This window comes from Homo sapiens, chromosome 14, assembly GCF_000001405.40.
Source record: "Homo sapiens chromosome 14, GRCh38.p14 Primary Assembly".
NCBI lineage: Eukaryota > Metazoa > Chordata > Mammalia > Primates > Hominidae > Homo > Homo sapiens.
Window position 1 is genome coordinate 80,630,479 of NC_000014.9, and position 15,788 is coordinate 80,646,266.

The following is a 15,788-nucleotide window of genomic DNA, read 5'->3' on the forward strand; positions in this document are numbered from 1 at the left end:
GGTTTACATTATGAAAGATTCTTTAGCAGAAAAAGAAGCTCTAAAAAAATACCCCAAAGTCTGCCTTGGCAAGAAATTAAGTCATATGGAAAAAACCACAAGTTACAATAAAAATTCACTTGATACAGTAATATACATTATTCCTTCTGAATTGTATAGGCAAAAAAACTCCAGCTCCCTAAGCCAACAACCAAATATTTCTGTTAAGTTCATATGATTTGTTTTCAGGGCAGAACCTCTGCAAGTTTTTATAGTGTAAGGACTGACCAATATAACGAAAATTAGTTATCCAATCTAGATGCAAAAAGACAAAGCCATATCTCTGTTGTAATACAGAATCACAAAAGTCACCATCAGCACGCATTGTAATATGTTACTTTATGTAATATGAACAGAAGGTAAACTTACAAACGCTGTCAAAATAATTGTCCATAACATGTTTTATTTGGGCTTCTGTTTTTTACCCATGGGCAACTGTAAAAGAAAACATGCAGTGCCTACTTTCTCAAAGGGTAATTTTTATCTTTGTATTAAGAAACTAAAAAATACTCATGCTTTTTCGAGTCAATAATTCCACTTGGAGGAATGTAATCAGAAATGTATAAAATCATATATATGCAAAGACTGTCATTCTATTGTTATTCATAATAACATGATTTTTAAAAGAATTTAAAGCTCATCAACAAATTAGCCACCATCTCCATTGAGAATCTGATGAACACTAAGTAGAGTCTTTAGCCCAGAAATATCCACCTATGCCTATCCACACACATAGGCACAATATAAACATGATATAAAAATTACATTGCCATCTAACTTTGAAAACTATTACAAGACTCAGCAATTGCATGATATATAGGAATAGCTTTTAGAATGATGGAAGGAAGAGAATGCAGTTTTCAGAGAAGTAAAAAAATGCTGTACACTTACTGAAATTAAAATGACTGGTCTAAAGAACTTAGCGAGATAGCAGATAAAATTCAAATATTACAGGCTATGAAGAGTCTTACATACCATTAATATGCTTATTTCCATTCTTTATATTCAAAGATAACACTACTACTGTTTGTTTCTATATGTGATTCGGTATCTGCAAAGATCAATGAGTAAAGAAGTGCTAGAAGTCTAATCTTTGATTTGATGTTGTAACTGACCGACAAAGCCTGAAGCAATTTGTATTTTCTCTTGTTCTATCAAAGTGCAAAGTACCAGTCATTTATTCATGTAATACAATTCAATTTCATAAACATTCTCATCAATTCAATTCCATAAACATATCTACTTTGTGCAAGACTTAGGTGTCAGATATTAAAAAGATGAATAAAACACAGAAACTGTATTCCAGGGACCTCACCATATTAAGGACAATTCTTAAGAATTTATTTTCAATAGTTAGAATGTATACTGCATGAAGACACCTTTTTTCCCCCTCAGTGATATATCCAAAGTACCTAGAACAATTACATAATTACTAAGACAGAGGAAGAATCTGAACTAAGGTTGACCTGACTCTAAAGTCCATATTACTAGCTGATGTGTTATTCAGCTCTTCTGTACTCTGAATTCTTACCAGTCACCTGATTAAAAAGGTGCTGCTTCTATAATGTATAAAATTATATACCTGAAAAGCAATAGCAAGCATATTCCATAATAATTAACACAGAAGAGTCACAAGATAGCTAAATACTATGACAACTATCCTTCAGTATTTTTCTTTTTAGTTTTCTATGTATGCACACATCACTAAATAATACATTGTTTCATTTTCCTGTCTTTTAGTATTGTATACATAGAATTATACTATATGTGTACTTTGTTGACTTGCTATTTACATTCAACATAATACTATTGAGACTTTACCATGTTAGTGAGTTTATATATACTAAGTATAAATATTATATAATATACTCTGTATATACTGCATATAGTATATATGTTATATAATATGGTACATATATATCAGTATATTATTGTATATTATACATATGATATATACTATACATTCTAGTGCATTATACAGATTACATATATAATGAAAATTACAATGTTATCCTTGGAGTCCATCATACTATATATAATATATAAAATCTATTATCTATATAATATAACATGCTATATATATTATAGTGCATTCACTATAACAGTTTTTTAGTATTCTGCTCTGTGAATATATCCTAGTTTTTCTATTCTTCCATGAATGGGCATGTGGGTCATTTCCAATTACTCTGCAATTACAAATGGTGACTACTTATGTGCATATCTCCTAGTTCGGGTGTGTAAGCTTCTCACGGGTGTATGTCTGGGAGTGGAATTGCTGAGTCAAGTGGCAAGTGCATACATTCAATTTTTTAAAATGATGTGAGTTATTTTCCAACATTCATGCACCAGTTTATAAATACGCACTAAGAATGAGTGAAAGGGCTATTGTTTTAGTGCTCACTACGTGTGCATTTAAAAATTAAAAATAGGATGGGGTTTGGGATTCACACCTGTAATCCAGTACTTCGGGAGGCTGGGGTGGGAGGATTGCTTGAGCCCAGGAGTGCAAGAGCAGCCTGGGCAACATAGTGGGACTCCGTTTCTACAAAAAAATAAAAAATTAGCTGGGTATGGTGATGTGTGTCTGTAGTCCCAGCTATTCTGGAGGCTGAGGCAGGAGGATCACGTGAGCCCAGAAGGTCAAGGTTGCCTTGAGCCGTGACTGCCACCACTACACTCCAATCTGGGTGCCAGAGTTAGACCCTGCCTAGAAACAAACAAACAAACAAACAAAAACAAAACAAAACAAACTAGCTTCTTTTGAAACTTTCCTCAAGAGAGATAATATACATTGGCACAGGGGTCCGATATGTCAATAGTAATACTTTCCGTTGTAAATATTTCATATCTCTGTCCTGCTTAAAGCATAAAAGTTGTCACTCACAGTGGCCCCATGATCAAGTTAATACCCCTTGTAGAGCTCACAAGCTCTCCTGTTTCTGTTATGGCCTGCCTTCTTCTCCAGTGTCTTCTGCCACCTCTGTCTCTCTCTATTGCTTTCCTCCGTCTCTCTCATATATGCCAGGGCCAAACTGAAGTTCTTTCATTTCTCCAACAAGATTTCTAATCTTAACAATCAGTTCATCTGCCTCTTGCATCCCTATTCCCACACCTAGGACAAGCAAGACTTCCCACTACGTATTCCCATCCACAGTTTGGACTATGGATTTTAAAAAGTGGGGATCAGACTTATCTCATTCACCACTGTATCTTCTTTGCATAGCTCATTGTCTGGTTCAAACCAGGTCCTCAATAAATAATTAAATAAATGACTACCTGTTTCTAGTTAAAATAAATGTGTGCCCATGGGAGGTGTCCCATCCATTCTTGGTATTAAAAAAATGTGAATCCCTATGTCTAAGTATCAAACCCTGGACCACAATGAATTCATCAAGAGCTATGTACAGGGCCCTCTTGGACCATGGAGTCTTTCCTGGGTATTCATGCCTAAGGTAGGAAGTACCTAAGCCATGCATATCTTCCTTAATATTTGAAATATCAACAATTTCCCACGACTGGAAAGCCATATATGAAGGAGATGAGGCTAGAAATTTGGGTCACTAGGGATCCTGCCTGCTGCGTTACTAAGTTTAGATTACATCCTACAGAAAATGAGAATTACTATAAGATTTAAGTTTAGGCAAGTCATGATTAATTGGTGTTTAAGATGTACTTGTTAGATTGCTTTCAGAGGAATAACTGTTGAGAAACAAAGATTCTTGCTGGAAAGCCATAATGCCAACTTTGACTTTACACTCACTACATTCTAATAGATGAGTGAGTCTTTAATGTTTTCCTCTTGACAACATTTTTTGGATTGATGCCAGATTCCCGAAGGGCATTTCTGGATGGAAAGTTTTAAAGCAATAAAAATGTTCTCCAAGGACATAAGACTATTTTTAAAAGTTTTGAAAGTGGTACTAATATCAATATAGATGTTTATTGGAGACACAGGTAGAAAACAAGAAAAGCAAAGTAATATTTTTGAATATATTTTTCAATATTTTGTATTTCACAATTGGTGAGTTACGCTTAGTAGGCATTTTTTCCAGGTTGTATAAATAAGAAAATGTAACTAACATGTTATTCTCCCTTTATCCTGGTAATCATTTTTTCCCAACTTCTAATTTGGAGAAGCCAACCTCGCAAGTTTAGTTAATTTTATCTCTGTGTTTTGCCCCCACTTTTCCCTATTCTCCTACAATTGTCACTCACATGTCTTTTTTTCCATTTCCACAGGTACCACTTCAGCTTACCTCCCGATGCCTGAATTGTAACAAAAGCCTTCCAACAGTTTCCTTCTCTACATTTTCTCTCCTCTCTGGTATATTCCCAACACAGATGTCAGGATAACTTCCCTTATATAATTTTCATCACATTTTCTCTTTCAGATAAGAACCACCAGTTGCTTCCCACTGCCTGGTTTATCAGTGTGCGTTCACCATAATGTTTGTGGTAGGCCACTAATATATGACCTTGCTCCCAGACGACCAGGCCTCCAAATTTATAACTTAGTACAGTGTCTTCTAAAATATCTCCTCTTTTCGTAGAAGCCAGTTCTCTCTGATCAATCCCTTTATTTGGCCTGCTCGTTCTAGCTACCTATAATGCCTGCTTCTCAAGAGCCTTATAGAAATGTTTCTGGCTTTATCTCATACACCTCTGATCACTTCCGCAATCTGTCCGTGAAAATTCATTGCAATGTTCTCCTTGGAGTCCATACTCAATTATAGATGAGACACTTGCTAAGTGAATTTCTCTTTGATTTTGAATGAGAATAGACCCCACACACAGAATTCAATGCACAGTACATTATAAGATGAATTGACATCATCACTATCACGCAGTCCCAATGCATCCAAATGCCAACTCCACTGGGGGTAAAAAAAGAACAAAAAAACCCCCAAATAAACAAAAAACTAGGTCCTTCTAGTGTCATCCCAGAACTGAAACATGACCCTGTTATTGCATTTGTTAACTTGTTATATAGTCCTTGAGGCTAAAATTTACGCTGCAAGAAGAGTTTCTTCTTGTGTAGAGGATACAGCGCCACACAATAACAATGACTGACATTAGTAGGTTTTCAATAAATTAATCAATCCATCCAGTTAATAAGGAGTATACATTATGTGTCAGGTATTGTCTTATGTAAAGCAGATTTATCAGCGAACAAAGGAACTTAATTCTGGTGACTTGTTAGTTTCCTCCTAAAGGTTGAGCCTCCCTACTGTGAACATTTGAAATCCAAAACACCCTAAAATCTGAACCTTTTTGAACACTGACATGATGCCACAGTGGAAAATTCCACACCTGACTTCGTGATAGGCTGCAGTCAAAATGCAGGTGCACAACACACAGTTTATTCAGTGTCCTCAAGGGAAAAATACAGCTATCTTCAGGCTATGTGTATAAGGTGTATATGAAACATAAATGAATTTTGTGTTTAGATTTGGGTCCCATCCCTGAGATTTCTCATTATGTATATGCAAATATTCCAAAATCCAATTTTTAAAAAATCCCAAATCTGAAACGCTTCTGGTCCCAAGCATTTTGGTTCAGGGATACTCAAGTGTACTTATTGCTACTTATTTGTTCACTTGTTTTCTGAAATATTCTATGGCTATGACTGCATCTTATGCTTTTTTGATATTACTCCACAGAATGGGAGCTGTTTGCATACATGGTAGTCAGTGACTATTTGCTAAATAGTTGCATGGAATGTTAGAAACCTAATGACTTAGTAAAACTTATAAATAAGTGAGACTACTGCCCCCTAGCCTAAAATTCATTCCCTGCGCTCACTCAACATCATAGTTCTTTAGGAAGACAAGTTGTTCTATAGCATAAAGATACAACCTATTTAGATAGTCTAAAGATTCTCCTCTGTTTCTCAAATACAGTCAGTTATGCAGCTCAAAATGCCTCTCATTTTCCTGCTTTTTTTTCTTCTACTATTGTTGCCTCCAGGCTTTGCAGAAACACATGTTATTCTCCCCCTAAAATCTGTTCCTCTTCTAGTTTTCTCTCTGCCAGCAATGGCACCACACAGTCTTTTGGTTTTGCACCAGAGAATTAGAGATGAACCCCTCATCTCTAATCTATCACAAGTTTCCTCAGATTTAAACTCTCAAATCAAGATGTTTCTCACCATTTCCATTACTATTGTCCCCAGCTAATATTATATTCTTCCTGGGACTGGAATTAGTCTCCTAAATGGCCTCCCCATTTCCATTTTTCCCCCCAACTCTTCTCCACATTACTGAATTTTCCATTGAAAATACAAATTTGGCCAGGCACGGTGGCTCACACCTGTAATCCCAGCACTTTGGGAGGCCAACACGGGCAGATCACCTGAGGTCGGGAGTTCGAGACCAGCCTGACCAACGTGGAGAAACCCTGTCTCTACTAAAAATACAAAATTAGCCAGGCGTGGTGGCACATGCCTGTAATCCCAGCTACTAGGAAGGCTAAGGCAGGAGAATCGCTTGAACCCAGGAGGCGGAGGTTGTGGTGAGCCAAGATCGGGCCATTGTACTCCAGCCTGGACATCAAGAGCGAAACTCCGTCTTTAAAAAAAAAAAAAAGAAAAGAAAATACAAATCTGTCCATGTATTCCCAGCCTGCTTAAAACCCTGCAATCAGAGCTCTTAGAATAAAACTAAAATTTTTAACATGGTCCATTCTACCCATGGTAAGCAGAATTTTGGCCCCCAAAGATACCCATATCCCTGGAGCCATGTTATGCAAGGGGATATTAAGGTTGTGAATCAGTTGACCTCCAGATATGGCAATTTGTCCTGGATTACCGAGGATGACCTAATGTAATCAGGAAAATCCTTAAAAGTAGAAAAGAGAAGCAGAAGAGCCAGAGAAGGAGATGCAAGGACAGAAAAAAGATGAGACCTTGAAAGGAGAATTCAATCCATCTCATTTTCTCAATTTTCATCTCATTTATAAATTCTATAAAGTTAAGGGCTGCGTTTGCTTTTTTGCCTACCAATGTATCCATTGCAGACACTCAGTAAATAGTTTCTAAATGCATAAAGAAACTACTCCGGATAAGAACTCTTACATTTTTATCAGATAAATCACTGTATTACTTAAATATGCTTATCTTCTTTATAAAAACTGAATGGTGCCCCTAAAAAGAGACCAGGTCTTAAACCGTGAAACCTGTGAATGTTATCCTATCAGTAACATCTTTGCAGATGTGATTAAATTAAGGTCCTTGAAATGAGGTTATCCTGGATTATCCAGTTGGGCACCATATGTCATCCCAAGTGTCCTTATAAAAGAAAAAGAGAGAGAGATGAGACACAGAAAAGAACACAGTGTAACAAGAGAGGGGCGTATGTAGACGTGGCCACAAGTCAAGAAATGCCAGCAGTCACCAGATGCTGGAAGAGGCAAGAAAAGGGTTCTCCCTTAGGGTTTTCAGAGGGAGTCAGGTCCTGCTGACACTTTGATTTTGGCTCAGCAAAACTGACTTCAGACTTCTGGCCTCCAAAACCTACGACAGGATACATTTCTGTTCTTTTAAGCCAATATGTTTTTGATAATTTGTTACCACAGCCACAGGAACTAAACGAATACACTCTCCTTTGGATTTCTAATCATCTCTTTCCTTTCTGGAATGCCCTTCTTCCTTCTCTTCATATTTCAATAAATGTTTACTAAATAAAGAACAATGAATGGCCAAATCGTATAGTTCCTCCAAGTGTCATTTCTTTCATAAAGCATTCTCTGAATACTTTAGGCCACGTAAAACTCTCCCATCTGTGTGCAAAGATAATACATGTTATATAATTTTGCAATCTGGGACTTGTAAACCCACTGGTATATTTTTCTTATTATCCCAAAGAAGCAATGCTGTGTTTAATTTTTCCTGGTGTCCCTCAAACTGTGCACGAAGCCCAATCTATGGGCACAGAGGACCTGGAATGCTCTTCCCCCGATGTGCGTAGGGCTCTGTAGTTCACTTCCTTCAGATGCTTGCTCCATTGTCAACTTATCAGAGAGGACTTTGCTGACCCCTCATCCCTCTACTTTCTTACCGTACTGTATTCTACTCTAGAACACTTTTCATACCACCTGATTTATTTTTTATATACGATGTCTTTTACCCTTCTACAATGAGACAGCGAATTCCAACACGGTAGGGGCAGTGACTAGCATATAGTAGGAATTCAGTAAATGTTTATTGGGTGAATCACTGAATATAAGGAAATGCCTAAATCTTTCTATTGCCATCAGTTGACTAAGTAGTCTGAACACAGGTCATTAAAATGGTAGCTCCTAACATTTCAAATACTATCTCTGAATTTGATCAAGACTCAGAATTTCAACTCCAGTAGCCCCTTTATTAGGTTTTAGAAGTCAATGACTCATTACGAAACCACTTAGGTTAAAAAAAGAAGTCTTTTTCTTTCATTTGGTTACAAGGAAGTATTGAAAGTTGAGATGAGAAGAATAAATTATGGAATGCAGCTCCCTGTCTAATATTTGCATTATTATGTTTCAGACATACATTGCTTAATACAATGTTAAGCAATAACAAATCAACGGTGGAGTGAACTAACTTAAAAAATGGTATTTAACCAAAAAAAATCTGTATTAATATTATATTCTTTATTCTATTTCCACAAATGAGATTCAAATTCATTTTACTTTCAAATAACTAAAATGTTTGATTGTGAAGCTATTATACAAAAATAATTCAGATAATCCTCATTCTAGCAGATACATACAAGATGTAGCTCAGAAGCTGAGTTCAGACAAAACAATTTTATGCAAAGGCTAACAAACATATGGGATAAGTTACCAAAAGAGAATTGCTGAAACAAGAAACACCAATATGTTCTACTGAGAACAAGGCGGGTATTTACATATGATCCAAATGAGGGGTGTGGAAGAAGAGTAAAATAAAAATTTAAGACCACTGGAATTCTCCCCAGCAATGTGTGCCTGAAGTAAACTCATTGTCTTTACTATAATTAAAAGACAATAAAGTATTCTATGACCTTCTTAAATATGTTTATTGTTGACATTTGTTAGATCCCTTATAATGAAATCTGTGGACCACCCAAATCCTGTTATTCTAATATAATTTGTCTAAAATTAACACATTATTGAAAATCATATTCTTAGTTTGTACATCTTAGAAACAGCTGATTACCCTCTTTCTGTGATGACTAGTCTTTACCTTGTGGGGTAAAAAAGAGAAATTGAGGAGATAATTCAAACTTCCCCACTCCTTTGAGCAGAACTATAATCTTAAATGGAGCAACAGTTTGTTTTGATGAAGGAGTAAGAAGGTTGACTAGCAATTATTTCATGCTGTCAAATTTGAAGAACAAACAACCAAGTTAAACGCAGTCTCTCCAAAAACAAAGGCAAATAACACATAATCAAATTCTTTCTTATAGAAAGTGACTTTTCCATGAACTGAGACCAAAGAAAGCACTCACTGAATGAAATTTATAGTAACCAGAATAACAAAGCATTGTCTCAAACTTTCATCCTCTGGAATATGGAAAAATTCTTATTATTTTACTTTGAAAGAATATTCAGTAATGGAACTTATTGTAAATGTGAAAGATCTCTCTGTGATTAGTTAGTTCAGCTAGCTAGATCAAAACACAAATAAGTCTGAATCAGGTATATAGGACACACTCTCATCTTTCTTTTCTAGCACATAAAATATGTCATTAGTGATAGGTAGGACCAAACCAGAGATAAAGGGAAAACTATTTTTTAATCCATCATCATTATTGCTAAAACAAACAAACAAAATAAAAAGTTCATGATCTATTAATAATGGGTGAATACTACTTCATTCAAATATTATTTTGACTGTCTCATTTTCTATTAATTCTTCAAGCTACTATAAAAGGGCTCTCATTTATTCTTAAAAGCACCATTTCCCTGCCAACTTCTGAGTCCAATGGACATTTTAAATTGCTTCCTAACTTGACCTGTCTGCTACACAGAATACTATGAACCATATCCTCAATTTTTCTATTTTTTCCACAGCAACATCCTCTCCTTTTACCTCTCCAATACCTCATTTCTCTATATGCTTTTCTGGTTCTACTTCTTTTACCATCCCCTTCAATGTGAATCCTCTCCAGGGTTCTATCTAAAACTCTCTTCTTATTCTAGACTTAACCTCTAAACAACAACAAATATGAAAACGGCTCTGACAAGTACCCATATAAAAAGAACTCCCAAATTGGCCCTCCCAAAAGAAACCACCCTTTTGCTGATTTTACGATCAAAATTCCAATAGTTTATTAGAAAACTTGGCCCACATATCTTAAGGGTACTTCAAAAACAGCATCTAAATCTAAACTTGTTATTGTCTTCTATTTTCCCAGAGATTGAAGAGCATGAGTTTTGAAGCCAGATAAATATCCAGCTCTGTCACCACCTAGTTACACAGCTTTAATTAATGCATTTACATTCCTTGAGAATTGCTTCCTAGCTACTTTGAAGGGCCATTATTATGAGAATTAAATTTGATTATATAATGGCCCTTCACAAACATGTTCCCGAGTTTAGTTTTCTCTTTTTTGTAGACCCTCTCCGAGGACCTTACAGTCATTCCAGAAATTTCTACTTCTCTCTGCATCCATAACCAATAGTAACACAATCTAAACCATTAACCATCTTCATATCTCCAGCATTTACCCCTTCTGTATAACTACTGCTCTCATTTTAGGTGGATGCCTCCTCATTCTCTAATGCAACTGCCCATGTATATCCCTGCTTCTAACTGAATCTTTAAACCACTCCTCTGAAATAAAAAATACTGTGACTTCTTGATGTTCAAGGGCTAATGTTTTATGTTCTTAACATAGGGCCAGCGTGCCCTTTCCACTTGGCCTCCACCTGCCTTTTCAAGTTTTATCAAGTACCAGTTTCCCTGGTACCATATGCTACAGTCACCAACTACTGATGTTGTATGGCCTGTGCCCTATCAAAGGTGCAGAACCTGTCTTTGCGCCTTTTTCCTAGAATCGGATACAGTGCCTGGTAGAAAGTATGCACAGAACAAATGCTTGTTGAATTAAAAGTTTCTACGGCTTAATACTGATTTTTAAAGTATTTATGGCTGCTGAAAGAGTGCTTTCTGAGACCTAATGTGAACGTAATATTAAAAGGTCAAAAAAGGATTTTTTTCTCCTTACTCAAGACTAATTATCCCAACAGTGAAAGAAAACTCTATTATAAGTAATTAAAATAGCCGTACCAGAACAGCTTAGTAATACAATTCAATTAAATTAAGCAATATATGTTAGGGACAGACAAAATATTATACAAAGAGAGAGAGAAGGCCAAGGCGGGTGGATCATGAGGTCAGGAGATCGAGACCATCCTGGCTAACGTGGTGAAACCCCATCTCTACTAAAAAATATAAAAAATTAGCTGGGCGTGGTGGCGGGCACCTGTAGTCCCAGCTACTCCGGAGGCTGAGGCAGAAGAATGATGTGAACCCGGGAGGCGGAGCTTGCAGTGAGCCAAGATAGTGCCACTGCACTCCAGCCTGGGCGACAGAGTGAGACTCCGTTTCAAAAAAAAAAAAGAAGAGAGAGACAGCCCTACCTTAAACATAAGCTACAAACTGCTGTGATTCCATCAGCCTACAGACATTTCAGCAGTAGTTACAGAGGGGACTGACAAGAAGCAGTTTGTCTGAAAGATGGAGGAGACACGTAGAAACACCTCATTCTAAGAAAAGAGGGGATCAAGTTTTGTCCATTAATAAAGCTTTAGCAATAACAAAAATGAATAATTCTTAGTAGAACATGGGATGTGTAATTAGGATTCATTGCCAGTCCAGAGATAAAGGAGAGATATCAGTGACTTAAGAATGAGAGAGACAAGGCTGGTGCTATGGCTCTCACCTGAAACCCCAGACTTTGAGAGGCCAATGCAGGAAGACTGCTTGAGGCCAGGAGTTCAGGACCAGCCTAGGTAACATAGTGAGACCCTGCTTCTATAAAAAATAAAAAGGCTAGCCAGGCATAGGGGTGCATGCTTGTGGTCCCAACTGTTTGGGAGGCTGAGGCAAGAGGACTGCTTGAGCCCAGAAAGTCAAGGTTGCAGTAAGCCTGGGCAACAGGTGAGACTCCATCTCTAAAACAAACAAACAAAGAAAAAGAGAGAGAGAGAGATTTAAAATAAACTTGTAAGAAATGTTTCATTAAAAGAATTAAAAAGTTATTAGAAAACTTGACCCCCTTTTTTTTTTTTTGAGACAGAGTCTTGCTCTGTCACCCAGGCTGGAATGCGGCGGCGCGACCTCAGCTCACTACAACCTCAGCCTCCCAGTTCAGGCAATTCTCCTGCCTCAGCCTCCCGAGTAGCTGGGACTACAGGCACGTGCCACCACGCCTGGCTAATTTTTTGTATTTTTAGTAGAAGCAGGGTTTCACCGTGTTAGCCAGGATGGTCTGGATCTCCTGACCTCGTGATCTGCCTGCCTCAGCCTCCCAAAGTGCTGGGATTACAGGCGTGAGCCACCGCGCCCGGCTGACCCACATATATTAAGGGTACCTCAAAAACAGCATCTAAATCTAAACTTGTTATCCACTATTATTTTCCCAAAGATCGAAGAGCATGAGTTCAAATCAATCCTCAATCTTTTTAAATCATCAGGAAAATCAAGTGGCAAAAAACAGTGCCTTAAAACCTAATTTAACTAGATAAACCCAAAGAATGCCATGTGGTTCCTTAAGTTTCTAATGCATCAGCAGTGGCACCAGTGAGGAGTACACAGCCCTGTGGGAGATGGTGGCCATGCCCATCAATAATGGAGGCCAGCGGCACCACAGCAGTCAGCAGGGACAGCTGGGAGGCCTCTGCAAATGTGGGGTGCAACACAACTAAGCAATGAGGCTTAAGAATTGTGGTGGCTGGCCGGGTGTGGTGGTTCACGCCTGTAATCCCAACACTTTGGGAGGTCAAGATGGGTGGATCATGAGGTCAGGAGATCAAGACCAGTCTGGCCAACAGGGTCATCTCTGCTAAAAATACAAAAATTAGTCGGGTGCAGCGGCGAGCACCTGTAATCCCAGCTACTCGGGAGGCTCAGGCCGGAGAATCACTTGAACCTGGGAAGCGAAGGTTACAGTGAGCTGAGATCACGCCACTGCACTCTAACCTGGGCATCAGAGCAAGACTCCATCTCAAAAAAATCGTGGTGGTACATGGAATACACACAGCAATATACAGCCAAAAAGGCATTGGTATCCAACAGAGGCAGCAAAGCCTGGTGGCAGAAATAAACATACTCCAAGCAAGGATCAGATAGTTCAGCTCACACTAAGTAAAAACAGTGACTAGTGAACTCCCAAATTTCATGTCTATCTGGAATCTCAAAATGGGACTTTATTTGGAGATAGCGTGAGTCAAGGATTTGAAGATGAAATCAGCCTAGATGTAGGGTGAGTCCTAATACAGGACTGGTGTCCTCACATGAGAAAAGAGAGAGATTTAGACGCAAAGACACAGACATACAGAGAAGAAGGCCATGTGAAGACAAAGGAAGAGAATAGAGTGCTGCAGCTGCAAGCCAAGTAACGCTAAAGATTGCCAGCCACCACCAAAAGCTGAGACAAAGAAGCACTCTTCCCTACAGCCTGCAGAGCAAGCATGGTCCTGCCAACACCTTGATTTCTGAGTTCTAGGCTCCAGAACTGTGAGAGAATAAATTTCTGTTGTTCTAAACCACTCCGTTTGTGGCGCTTTGTTATGGTAGCCCTGGGAAACTGACATACGATGTTTCTTTGCTAATTAGGCACCTGTCATATGCACATTGGAGATAAACGTTTAGGACTCCCCTAAAATACTTGCAGTGGCAGGAGAAAATACTGCTGAATAAGTAGGGCCTGCAAAAGCAAGGAAGGACACAAGCCAGTAAGACATGGGTGTTACACTATCAGGAGAAATATATTCCACTGAGATTTGTCTGCATTTTTCTTCTAATACTTGTTTCTGTTATTTCAAAAAGAAGATAGTGTTGATTTTCTCAGAAATTCCACTGATACAGAATAATGAGAAATCAAAACTCAAATATCAAAAAAGTGATTAGTAATAACCATCATTAATATTAGGCTTTTCTGTTAATATTCAATTCAATGCAACAACAAAATGCATATTAATATAACATTTTTCTTTTAAGGTAATAATTTAACTACTCTATATTTCTATAAAATTAAGTTCATTGGAAAGTAAAAGAATTTGAGTCATGACAACTGGCCTTAATGTTTAATGTGGATTAGTTAGATAATAAAGATACAAAAAAGGCACAATAGCATACACTGCTCATGTTATTTTAATGAAAAAGAACATATTCAACAATATGTTCTGAAATTACTAATTTGCATTTTCTAGGAAAATAATCCACTCTCATGGAACAAATGAATCATATCTCATTCAATAAAAATGAGAGAAAAATAGCACAGTTTTGAGGAAAGACTACAAACGTTGATAAATGAGACATACTTAATTCTATGTGACCTGGGCCAGATTATCAAAACATTCTGCATCCCAGATTTTTCATCAACAAGTTGAAAGGTCAAGTAGGTTCCTTTTGACTCTAACAAGTCATAACCACGTAAGCTAACTAAATATAATATATAATACTATTTTACCCACTATACAGTAAAACTGAAGAAATAGAAATATACTAAGGGTACATTGCCAAATGGTTTTACTTTTTAAAACAGTTTTCATTTCAAAACATAATCACATGTTTTCCATCCAATACATGTTACTGTTTATATTTGATGGAAATGTATTAAGGTATTATACCTGGTGTAGAAGAATGGCTCCTTTCTTCAAAAGGTTAATGTTCTAATAGGAGAAATCAGACTCAAAGTTAGCAGCATACATTAAGTCTAAGTGAATGGTAAAAATGAAGATAATTATTATATGGAGTAGGGAAGTATTACTACTTAATGTGTTATGACAATATTATATAAGATGCAGCATCTGAATAGGATACGTAAAATGGAAAGGAATTAAAATAAGCAAAAATCATGGCACCAAAAGCTGGTGAGGATGTGGAGCAAAAGGAACTCTCATTGACTGCTGGTAAAAATACAAGGTGATATAGGCATTTTGAAAGATAGTTTGTCAGTTTCTTACAAAATTAAACATATTTTTACCATACAATCCAGCAATCACACTCCTTGATATTTACCCAAATGAACTGAACATTTATGTCTACACAAAAATCTGCACATGAATGTTTACAGCAGCTTTATTCATAATTGCCCAAACTTGGAAGCAACCAAGGTGTCTTTCAGTAGGTGAGTGGATAAATACACTGTGGTAAATCCAGACAATGGAATATGATTCAGCACTAAAAGAATGAGCTATAAAGCCATGAAAAGACATAGAGAAAACTTAAGTGCATATTACTACGTGAAAGAAACTCATGTGAAAAAGGTACATTGTATGATATTTAGAAAAGGCAAAAGTATGGAGACGGTAAAAAGATCAGTGGTTGCCAGGAGTTAGTGGGGAAGGAGGGATAAATAGGTAGAGCTCACAGGATTTTTAGGGCAGTGAAACTATTCTGTAGAATATTACAATGGTAAATGCTTCATTACATATCTGTCAAAACCTACAGAACGTAAAACGCCAAGAATGAACCCTAATGTAAACTATGAACTTTGGATGATGTGTCAATATAGGTTTATCGATTGTAACTAATGTACCACTTTGGTGGGGGATACTGA

The 15,788-nt window shown here is 37.2% G+C and overlaps 1 protein-coding gene across 15 annotated transcripts in view, besides 1 other annotated feature; it reads right to left on the reverse strand.

The window, feature by feature from the left end:
* CEP128 (centrosomal protein 128) overlaps positions 1-15,788 on the reverse strand; it is a 482,534-nt gene that overhangs the window by 153,510 nt on the left and 313,236 nt on the right. The gene's annotated exons all lie outside the window — the stretch shown is intronic.
* Positions 8,039-8,208: an enhancer, noted in NCBI's record as "experimental_37671 CRE fragment used in MPRA reporter constructs". NCBI's record gives its function as "activates a minimal promoter by MPRAs in K562 erythroleukemia cells, with activity observed for the introgressed 14:81104946 variant allele {active_cell/tissue: K562}" and the evidence as "EXISTENCE:reporter gene assay evidence [ECO:0000049][PMID:34662402]".